General features: G+C 45.5%; 1 protein-coding gene across 20 annotated transcripts in view, besides 1 other annotated feature; it reads left to right on the top strand.

Annotated features, from left to right (window-relative positions):
• PHACTR1 (phosphatase and actin regulator 1) overlaps positions 1 to 12,016 on the top strand; it is a 571,071-nt gene that overhangs the window by 476,634 nt on the left and 82,421 nt on the right. The window lies entirely within an intron of this gene.
• Positions 1,670 to 1,759: a silencer, noted in NCBI's record as "silent region_16924". NCBI's record gives its function as "represses an Ori minimal core promoter by ATAC-STARR-seq in GM12878 lymphoblastoid cells {active_cell/tissue: GM12878}" and the evidence as "EXISTENCE:reporter gene assay evidence [ECO:0000049][PMID:35858748]".

Raw genomic sequence — 12,016 nt, forward strand, 5'->3', positions numbered from 1 at the left:
TGTTGAGATGCGGTCTCACTATGTTGTCCAACTTGGAGTGCAGTGGCATGATCATAGCTCACTGCATCCTCAAATTCCTGGGCTCAAATGATCATCCCACCTCAGCCTCCCAAGTAGCTGGGACTATAGGCATGCGCCACTACTCCCAGCTAATTTTTTAAAATTTTTTTAGAGACAAGGTCTCTCGATGTTGCCCAGACTGATCTCCAACTCCTGGGCTCAAACAGTCCTCCTGCCTCAGCCTCCCAAGTAACTGGGACTACAGGCGAGATCTGCCACATCCAGCTCAGTATTTTCTTTTATATGATCTCAATTTACTTTCAAACTTCATACGTCTATCTCCTGTTTTGCATGTTTTGAGAGCAGATGAATGTGTCGATGCTCACCCTGATGACGTGGTGACTTTGATTTGATTCCCTATCTGCTTGGATGAATGAATGATCCTTTCATCTCTCCATCTCTGCATTTCTCACCCTCCTTTATGCCTGTCCTGCAGAAGGCCCAGGTTCAACAGCACAGTGATCAATTGAAGGGCATTCTTCTCTTCCGGTCTCCCTAGGAGCAGCAGCACCAGTCCATGGCTGCAGACATAAACAATATGATGTGTTTTTATATAGGTGATTTATAATTTCTCACAAAATACTTACTGATCCTCTCAACAGGTGTTTGTTCCATGATTAGAAGGACATCTACCATTTTGACTCTTTGAGAGCAGTTTCCTGGGCTGGGCGCGATGGCTCACGCCTGTAATCCCAGTACTTTGGGAGGCCAAGGTGGGCAGATCACGAGGTCAAGAGATCAAGACCATCCTGGCCAACATAGTGAAACCCTGTCTTTACTAAAAATACAAAAATTAGCTGGGCGTGGTGGCGCGTGCCTGTAGTCCCAGCTACTCAGGAGGCTGAGGCAGGAGAATTGCTTGAACCCAGGAGGTGGAGGTTGCAGTGAGCCAAGATCACACCACTGCACTCCAGCCTGGTGACAGAGCAAGACTCCGTCTCAAAAAAAAAAAAAAAAGAAAGAAAGGAAAAAGAAAAGAGAGCAGTTCTCTGGCAATGAATACTGTGTAATTTTATTGAAGAAAAAAAAAAAAACTAACTGAATTACATGCCCTGCAAGGGTGACGTGCCTAAGTGACTCAGTTAGCTGGAGAGTGACTCTCCTCTCCAGTCCTTCCCTACTCATGGCCATCTTCCCAGGGTACATTTAATAATGGATTGTATATTTCAAAATTGCCAAGACAGAAGATTTTAAATGTTTTCACTGCCAAAACATGATAAGTATGTAAGGTGATGGATTTGTTAATTAGCCTGATTTAATCATCCCACATTACAAATATGTATCAAAATGTCATCCCATGAATATCTACAATTATTATTTGTCTAGTAAAATTTTTTTTTAAATTTAATGTTTCTTTGTAGAAAGCGGCTCTGAAACTAAGTCAGCTGAGGGTGCCAGGGTTGTGTATGTTATCATGGCCCTTGAGGTTATGATTCCAGATCTGAGGACGGTCCTCACGGAGGCCAGATGTCTGCTGTGGTTTTCACATGCTGACCTGGCTTGGAAGGGAAAGCCAGGTTTGGGGCATTTCACAAAAATAACATTTTTTTCATTACTCTTGTTTCTCTCAACATCATCCCTCTCACCACAAGGGGTCAGTCAGCACATTTTGCCTTTGACCAAGGCAAAACGCCAGGCGAGTGATCATCCCTAGGCGGGCCTCGTGTTCTGAAGGAACTGATGGAGCTCCTGTTGACCTCTTTCTTGCAGCCAAGGGGAATCTGATTTAGTAGATTAGTGATGCTAGACTCTCATTTCTGTTCCAGATATACTGCCAATAGGCCCTTTATTATAGTCCACCATCTTCAGGTGGAGTACCTATAGCTAAGGTTAAGTAATTAAAGGAGATAAGTAATTCCAACTCACTGCAACTAGTTGGCAAATGACTGAGAAAATTTTGCAACACCTTTATTCATTGGGCACTAAGTGCTGTGCTCATTGACAAGTAACTGCCGATACAGCAGCAGTTACAAATGGGCCTCTATAGCAGGTGCTGATTAAAAAGTTCATTTGTGGCCTGGCGCGGTGGCTCATGCCTGTAATCCCAGCACTTCAGGAGGCCGAGATGAAGGGATCACTTGAGGTTGGGAGTTTGAGACCAGCCTGGCCAACATGGTGAAACCCCCATCTCTACTGAAACTACAAAAATTAGCTGGGCGTTGTGGCGAGCACCTGTAATCCCAGCTACTCAGGAGGCTGAAGCATGAAAATTGCTTGAACCCAGAAGGCGGACATTGCAGTGAGCTGAGATCGCGCCACTGTACTCCAGCCTGGGCGACAGAGAGAGACACCGTCTCAAAAAAAAAAAAAAAAAAAAAAAGTTCATTTGTGGTGGTAAGAAGAGAGGTTAGAGGTGTATTTATTTAGTCCACACTTATTCCGTGTGTCGGCTACAGCCATACGGCACAAGGACCAACTTTAGAAGTCATCTTTGCTTTTTCTTTCCTTGTCTGAAGTCATCAGCCAGGGCTGTGTCAGGTTTGGAAATACAGCCCTCTTGGGTTTTATGGCTCTGTGACATTCACGGTTTGGGTTTATTTTCCTTGTTCTCTGGAACTGGTCGTTTTTGCTTCTTCCACTCCATCAACAGAGACAGTTTTATGAATACACTGCATCTCAATCAGTCTAGCTGCAGAAATAAGTCAGCAAGCAGAGAGCTCTGTGTGTTTCCCAGCAGGAGCAGCCACCATCATCATTAGAAAGGCAAGAAGTAGTGTGTATCCTCCAACAATTAATAAATATCATGCATCAGATAGATGCAAAACCATTTATTCAGTGAGGTGCTGTCAAGGGAAAGGAGGCATTTTTATCCCAGGAATCAAGGGAAAGGAGGCATTTTTATTCTAGGATCTTTAGAGGTAAAGAGACAAAATCCCAGGAAGGTTAGATGTCTTCCTCAGGCAGTTAAAAGCAAAGGACGCAGGTTTTCAGACTCCTAGATCATCCACTGGTTTTCTTTCTTTTTTTTTTTGTTTTTTGAGACAGAGTCTCACTCTGTTGCCCACGGTGGAGCGCAGTGGTACAATCTCAGCTCACTGCAACCTCCGCTTCCCAGGTTCAAGCGATTCTCCTGCCTCAGCCTCCCAAGTAGCTGGGACTACAGGCGCATGCCACTGCGCCCAGCTAATTTTTGTACTTTTTTTAAAGACAGGGTTTCACCATGTTGGTCAGGCTGGTCTTGAACTCCTAACCTCGTGATCCGCCCGCCTTGGCCTCCCAAAGTACTGGGATTACAGGCTTGACCCACTGCACCCGGCCCCAGTCACTAGTTTTCAATACCGATGTAGTGCGGTGTGCATCAGAACAATACACTGAAACCTAGAAACCTCTCCTGGAGCATTTTGTGGTGGTGTTTTGTTGCAAGCATGGAGAACCGCCATGGAAGTCTTTCGCAAGCCTCTCTGCTCTATTACTTGATTCACTTTCCAATCACCTCTGCTCTTTTCCACTGCTTACTTATGATAGTACCACCACATATTAAACACTCTCTGTTGTTTTTTTGGCTTCTACCTTCCCACCCCAGGCTGGAAAGCATCAGGATAGGTGGATTTTCAGAAGTGTGGTGAAAGCCCTATTAGCAACACTGCAGCTATATAAGGTACTTTGCAATTTACAAAGCACGTTCACGTGATCCTGTCTGACCCTCCAAACAACCTATGGCAGAGGTGGGGAATGTATTATGATGTTTGTCTCAGAATCAAGACTACATTTGCTGATCTCCTCTGATGCATCAAGGACTGTACGGGGGCTACTTTATACTCAGGCCTTCTGCTGACCTATATGGAGACTTTGTAAAATTAGAAAAAGTGCCCTGTAGAGGATGCCCCTTCCTCTAGAGTGAATCAGCCCCACACCAGGGCAGGCCTCAGGCTAGATTTCAACCCTAAGGTCCCCTCAGCACCTTGCATGGAGCTGTGTAGTTATTAATCTATTTACTTCTCATTACAGATCTATACTCTGGGCAATACTCCCTTTCTACAGATGAGAAAACTGAGGCTCAGGAAAGCTAAATGTCTTAGGAAGAGTAACAAAGTTTCTTGGTCTTGGAGCTGTACTTAAACCCCAGCTCTTCTGAGTTCCTTTTTTTTTTATTATTATTATTATACCTTAAGTTCTAGGGTACATGTGCACAATGTGCAGGTTTGTTACATATGTATACATGTGCCATGTTGGTGTGCTGCACCCATTAACTGGTCATTTACATTAGGTATGTCTCCTAATGCTATCCCTCAAGGATCTAGAATCATTCTTCTGAGTTCTAAGCCAGTGGTGGTTTCACCAGGACATTCTGCCCTCGGCCCACAGCAGAAGCCTCTGCACCTCCTTCCCAGCCCTCCCAGAGCAGTGCTGGGATAATCTCCTCCTCCACAAGGCTCTGGGCATTTGTTATTTTGCCTATGGAGGGAGTAGCCTCTTTGGAAAGGAATGCCTCTTTCAGGGGTGCTTCTCAGACTTGATAGATCAGCGTCCCCTAGAGATCTTGCCAGAGGGTCTGGGGTGGGCCCTGAGCATCTGCCTTTCTGATAAGGTCCCAGGCCATGTGGCTCCTGCTAGTCCATTGGCCACACTTTGACTCGCAGACCTTTAATACAGCAGAAACCAGTCACTGAGTTCCACCTTTTCCCGTTGCCCTGAAGACATGATGAAAAGATAAACAAACGTTTATTGGGTATCTACTATGCACTAGGCTTAGTTCATTCTAGCAGGTAAAACAGGAGGAAATAGCCACGCTCAGTGAAATTTAATAATTACTACATCACACATAGCCCTTGCAAGGAAAAATCAGCAACATGTTAAGAAAAATGAAAGGGATTGAATTGACTCAATAGGCAATGCTGTGACACAGGGAAGCACGAGGCCTTGGGGGTCCCATGGGCAGGCGCCTCAGCCAGCCTCGGGATGATGGGCTTCCTAAAGGAGGCAATTAATAATGAGGATGGTGATAGCATCAAGAATTATGGTTACTCTCTGTGGAATAACTGTCTGGAGTGTCTGGAGTGTCAGACGCTATGCCACACGGTTTATGTACTTTATTTAATTTTACAATTGTCCTATAACACAGGGGTGTCCAACCTTTTGGCTTCCCTGGCCCACATTGGAAGAAGAAGAATTGTCTTGGGCTACACATAAAATATACAAATACTAATGATACCTGATGAGTGAAAAAAAAAAAACGAAAGAAAAGAAAAAGATCCGTGCATAAATCCCGTCATGTTTTAAGAAAGTTTACCATTTTGTGTCGGGCCACATTCAAAGCTGTCCTGGGTCGCATGCAGGCCGCCGGTTGGACAACCTTGCCATAACACATTATTTCACAGATTGGAAAACTGAACATCAAAGAGATTAAGCAATTTGCTGAAGCCAACAGAACTGAATCAGTGCATGATTTTATAGTTTATCTTATACTTTTTAGACCAACAAATGTTGGTAATGATTTTGTGCCTCTTTGCCTGATGAGAACTTGCAGCACCAGGTGTCATTTCCATCCAGGTAGATCAGAGTGATCTGGGAGTTTGTTTACAAAGCAGATTCCTGGGCACCACTGTGGACTTATTGAATCTGAACTCTGAAGGTGAGGCCCGGGAATCTGCCTCTCCCAAGCTTCCCTAATGAGGCTGATGGAAACACTACTTTAAGAAGTTAGCTGCTGGGAGCAGTGGCTCACACCTGTAATCCCAGCACTTTGGGAGGCCAAGGCAGGTGGATCACGAGGTCAGGAGTTTGAGACCAGCTTGGCCAGCATGGTGAAACCCCATCTCTACTAAAAATACAAAAAATTAGCTGGGCTTGGTGGCGTGCACCTATAATCCCAGCTACTTGGGAGGCTAAAGCAGAATTGCTTGAACCTGGGAGGTGGAGGTTGCAGTGAGCCAAGATCACACCACTGCACTCCAGCCTGGGCGACAAAGTGAGAGTCCATCTCAAAAAAAAAAAAAAAAAAAAAAAAAAAAACATTGGCATCTTGAAAAGTGGATGCCATGCAGTAGAAGCCTGATCTACCCAATTCCCTTTGTCATCCTCACTATAAAAATGTAATCGCCTCACTAAACAGAAATGGGTACTAGATATATATTTCTTGGTTTGTTTAGTAAATTTACAGAGTGCACATAGGGTAAATAAAAAATCAGCAAGAAGGCAGAAGAACCTGAATGCTTTGAATCAACTATGTAGGAAAAGCTAATTGTTTGATGAAGTACTTATTGCTTGACACAAAATTTTGAAGAAAGGCTCTTTATGCAAACTTGTCTAAAACATCCTTAAAGTTTAGACAAGATATAGATAGAAATAGAATAAAAGATTTTATTTCTATAGATAGAAATAAAATAGAAAAATTCACCCACAAGGATATAAGACATCTTATCATTTACAAAAGGCTCAATGACAAATGATTTTTATAAAACTCAATTGGAAGTGCCATTAGACAAATTGGTTTAAGAAGTATCCTTTAATTGCACATTCTAATGTGGACAAGATAATCATTAGGTGAATAGATTTTAGGCAAATTAGCTTTTAATAAATTGGTTTAGGGAAAATTGCTCTTTTACTTTTTACATGTTGGGAGCATAGAAATAGAATCTGGAAATTATCCCAATGACCCCCCAGGATGGACATTGGTCCAGATGCTGGATGGAACTGATGCATCCTGGCCTTGAGTGCTGCAGTATCCCTGCCTCAGGCAGCACCATACACCAAGCGATTTAGCACCCTGAGCCAGTGATTCTCAGCTCCTTGTATATGCTGAGCATTTGGGAAGAATCTTTTTTTTTTGAGATGGAGTCTCACTCTGTCACCCAGACTGGAGTGTAGTGGCACAATCTCGGCTCACTGCAACCTCCACCTCCTGGGTTCAAGCGATTCTCCTGCCTCAGCCTCCCGAGTAGCTGGGATTGCAGGCACGTGCCACCACGCCCAGCTAATTTTTGTATTTTTAGTAGAGACGGGGTCAAAGTGCTGGGATTACAGGCACGTGCCACCACACCCGGCCAGGAAGCATCTTAAATCCAAATGTCTGGCCCAAAGATTCTGGTTCAGCAGGTCCAAAGTAAAGCCCAGGAACATGAAGTTGCATCAGGCAACTATTGCAGGTGTTCCAAGGACTCTGCTCTAAGAAATAGTGCCCTTTTGTTCAGAGAAAAGGACAAAAGTAAGAGGCCAAGAGTTATTTTTGACTGTGGCTTTTTACAAATGCAATGCTGGGCCAGGTGGCCAGCACTGGGTGGCCACCCACTTTGGGAGGCCGGGGTGGGTGGATCACCTGAGGTCAGGAGTTTGAGACCAGCCTGGCCAACATGGTGAAACCCCATCTCTACTAAAAATGAAAAAAAAAAAAATTAGCCAGGCATCATGGCGGACACCTGTAGTCCCAGCTACTCGGAGGCTGAGGCAGGAAAATCACTTGAACAACCCGGGAGCGGGAGGTTGCAGTGAGCTGAGGTTACACCATTGCACTCTTGCCTGGGCAACAAGAGCGAAACTCTGTCTCAAAAAAAAAAAAAAAGAAAAAAATTAAAAAAAGAAAGAAATATAATGCTGGAACCCAACCTAGAATCCCTGAGAAGAGGAATGAGCATCATTGTGATTCTGATGCACCCCCAGTCCTGGTCCTGAGGACCACAGGGCAGTGAGCACGTTCCATCATTGCCCAGCCTCAGAGTCCTGCTGCAGCACATGTAGGAGGAGCCATCCAGGAACTAGCTGGGAAGACAGGGCTGACCCAAATGGAGCCAGCAGTAACCAGCACAAAACAGAGCCAAATTCACTGGCGCTGCTGACCACCAGGGTTGTAGGAGTTAAGGGAGGAAAGGCTGCCAGAGGAAAGCGGGTCTTCATTTGCCGCTTGAGGGGCAAATGCAATTTTTATTATCAAGGAACAGGAAGGCATTTCAGGAGGTGAGTACAGCAAAGGCCCTGAAGAGAGAAGGAGCGTGGTTATCGGGAAATCCAGAGGCCAGAGTGGACGAGAGAGATGTAAGTGGGAGACTCATAGTAGAGTCCAGACAGAGTCATACTTGGACTTGCAGCATGGACTGAGCATGGAGCCATCATGGACCTCACGCATGCCCAGCAGGTGCTGTAGGGAGATAGATATCTGGTACAGAGTGGGGACAGATCAGAGGGCTGGGACCGCATTATCCACACGATAAGAGGAGATGAGTGTCTAGACTGGTGTAGTGGTCAAGAAGCCAGAGAATACAGAAGTCTGAGTGGGAAAAGGGAGATTAAAAGCTTAGATGGAAGTTCAGAATGACAGATAATATGCAGCTGGTTCCAAATCGTGCCTCTAGTTATGTTATGGGGAATGACTTGGTGTTAAGATGTTGTAAAAATATACAAATAGGCATTGCCACTCTAACAAAGACATGAGCTGCCCAGCCTCTCCTCAGTTATCCACAATTTTAGGGAAAGATAGAGACTGCATGGCTAATTCACAGAAAGCAAGTAATTCTACCTGATTTTAGCCCTTTTCTTACTTTTGTTCATTTTTATGAAATCCACTGAGCCAAAAATGATTTTAAATGATTTGCTTTTATTCGCTGCCCTTTAATTCATAGCTATGTGCATCACAATGACCAGAAAGGAGATGCAGCAGGAAAGAAGGAGGGGGGTTCCCCAAGGCCCCAGCATGCCTTTCCTGGAACAGTAAGAACAACCGTCTCCACTAACTTGGTCCAGCTGGCCTTTTCTTCCTTGCCTGTTTCCATAGAATTGCTGGGGCTCACTTGGCCAATTTTCTAGTGATGAAACCAAGTAGGTTTTGCTATGGAAGAAGTCACAAGAAGTGGTGGAATGTTACGAGAAGCTATTGATTAACAAGATGGGCAGAACTCAATATAATCACTGCTCCTTCCTAGGCAGAGAATTCCACTCTGCCCTCCTGGTTCTTTCTCCTGACCAAGCAAATGAGCACCTACTTGCCTTAGAGAATCAGAGTCTTCAAATGAAGGACTATGGGTTAAGGGTCCTGGAGCAAAATCCTTAACACCTCAGGACATACTGCATTTGCTAGGTTTGCACTGAAGCTTTTTTTTTTTTTTTTTTGAGACAGAGTTTCACTCGCCCAGGCTATAGTGCAATGGTGCAATCTCAGCTCACTGCAAAGTCCACCTCTTGGGTTTAAGTGATTCTCCTGCCTCAGCCTCCCAAGTAGCTGGGATTACAGGCACCTGCCACCACACCCAGCTAATTTTGTATTTTTAGTAGAGACGGGGTTTCACCATGTTGGTCAGGCTGGTCTTGAACTCCTGACCTCAAGTAATCCACCTGCCTCGGCCTCGAAAAGTGCTGGGATTACAGGCGTGGGCCACCGCGCCCGCCTGCACTGAAGCTTCTAAGAGCTATGTAAGTGGACCCTTCAGTAAGATGAGCTGGACAATGGTGTTGAGTTTTTCCGTGTCTCAGCACTTTGGAACTAGCTAGCCTGCCTGTTAAGTTCCTGAATGTGGTGACCTTGCACCATGTGCATGAGGGGTCACAATGAACAGGACAAGCCCTCAGGAATGAACATGCGGAAGCCTGTGGTTATGACTGGTTTGCATTCTGGTGTTGGGGAGCAATCTTATCAGGCCCCCTGAAATGATTAGAATTTTCTGTGTCTCAGCGGTAGGATCAGAAGTTTAGTGTCCATATGCCACAACTGCGTGATCCTAAAATTGTAATCTGTTTCAGGCTCACATCTCCCTCCTAGAGTATCTATTTCTGGGGAAGGTGTGAATTCATCCCACAGCAGATCATCATAACTTTGGCTCATTCTGTAAACATGATTTGCATCTCTTGTGATGTGAGCTGGTCACTGAACAAGATGCTGAGGTTTGAGGTACAATAATAAATTACACACTGTCACTCTTCTCCGGGAGAGGAGACAGTTATGTAAACAGGAAGTGCAGCATAGTGTCTTCAGAGACCCTGTTTCATCATCTGTAAACATGAGATAATAATGGCATCTACCTCAGACTTGTTGTAAGGATTAAACCGGTTAGAATACAAAGAGCCCTTAGAACAGTATCTGGCACATAGTAAGCATGATAGAAGTCTTGATTATCATGACTGTCGTCATTCCTGCTATCATCATTAACACGATTAACACGGACATAATATGCATCCACGTTCCCACTCTCTTTCCACAGAGTGGGAAGAGGGATGTAATGATCAAGGAAGGCTTTTCAGGGGTGATTGTTTGTGAGGTGGATCTTGAAGGGCGACTAGTAATTGACCAAGAAGACAAAACAGAGGAGAATATTCTAAACTGAGGGAAAGTGACATGCAAAAGCCTAGGGTTATGGGAACATCAGGCAGTTTAGGAAACTCAGCAGTTCAGGAGTGAGGGTGGATGGTCTGGGTAATGGTGAGAAAAGTGGGCTGGAACTAAATGGGAGGTGGGGAAGCCGTGAGTGCTCCTCTTCAGTTCCTCACTGGGATAGGGAGAGGCATCTGTGGAAGGTGAGGATCCTGGAGGAGGCTGGGGAAGACTGCAGCAGCTCTTGGGAGAATGGCCAAGGCCACCTGGTCAACTTTGTTGAGCATGGAGACCCTGAATCCATGGGCCACCAAATAAGTAGAATCCACAGGAGAAGTGATCTGGGCCATAGGAGAGATTCTGCTCCAGCTTTTCAGGTGCCATAGGTAAGGTTATTTCCAACTGGGGGAACCAGAGCAGACTTTATAGAGGTACAATGTGGACATGAAGAGATGAACCAAGCAGGAGCCAGCCCATGGAAGGCCTTGAATGATGTATCAGGAAGGTTTAGTCCATGGATGGGTTTTAAACTGGGGAGCTACGTAATCAGATTTGTGCTCTAGGAATGTCATTTTGGCAGGACTGTAAGTTAGACTGGAGGAAGGCCACGTTCAAGGCAGATAGATCATTAGAGAAGAATCTATGGCCTCCGAGATGGAGAGTCAGAACTGCGTGGTGCTCCCCAACACGGGGTGCCAGTGGGGCATTGAGACTCCCTACTCCTCCCTGCTGTGCTGTTCCAGACCATGCTTCTCCCAGGCAAGCCTACAACCCACAGGGTTCAACCAGGTTCCCCTCCAGAAATGTGGGGTATGGCAGCAGGCTACATCTTCCCAGAAATGCCCTGGGGTCTAGTCTGACCCTGAGCCCCTCAAATGTGGAGCATCTCTAGGAAGCTCAATGGCATTGTCATGGAACCCAGCAGTTGGTCCTAGGTAGGTTCCAGCAGCCTGGAATCCCCTGTGGGAGCCTCCTTACTGTTTCAGTAGCCCACACTTGAGTGGGCCCACCAGTCCAGCAGTCACTCTCACTCCTGCCCCACTCGTGCACCCAAGCCAGGATCTGCAAAAACTAATCTTCACAAAGCATCCTCTCAAAGCAGGATGGTCGTCCCTAGGTGATGGAAGAGGGAATTAAGGTTGGCAGCAGTAAAGGCACTTGCAGAGTGGCATGCTGTTGGTGGACTTGACCCTAGGGCTGGCTTTAAATCCCATGCCTGTTGGGAAGTTCCAGCTTTGAAAGGATCTGTTCACATCATAATGGCAAAATTGTAGACATATATTGTAGACTAGCATGTCTTGGTCTGTTTTGTGTTGCTGTAACAATACCTGAGGCCAGGTAATTTGTGAAGAAAAGAGATTTCTTTAGCTCACAGTTCTGCAGACTGGGAAGTATGAGAAACATGGTGCTTCTGGTGAGGGCCTCTGGCTGCTTCCACCTATGGAGGAAAGCAGAAGGGGAGCTGGTGTGTGCAGAGAGCACATGGCAAGAGAGGAAGCAAAGGAGAGAAACTGAGGAACCCAGACTCTTCTTAACAACCCACTCTTCCTTGGGAACTAGTCCGTTCCTGGGAGAGCTCGAACTCGCTCACACCCACCACTAATCTATTCATGAGGGATCCACACCCGTGACCCAAATGCCTCCCACTAGGCCCCACCTGTTAAAGGTTCCACCTCCCGACATCCTTACATTGACAATTATATTTCACCATGAGTTTTTGCA

This window comes from Homo sapiens, chromosome 6 (genome assembly GCF_000001405.40).
Source record: "Homo sapiens chromosome 6, GRCh38.p14 Primary Assembly".
Taxonomy (NCBI): Eukaryota; Metazoa; Chordata; class Mammalia; order Primates; family Hominidae; genus Homo; species Homo sapiens.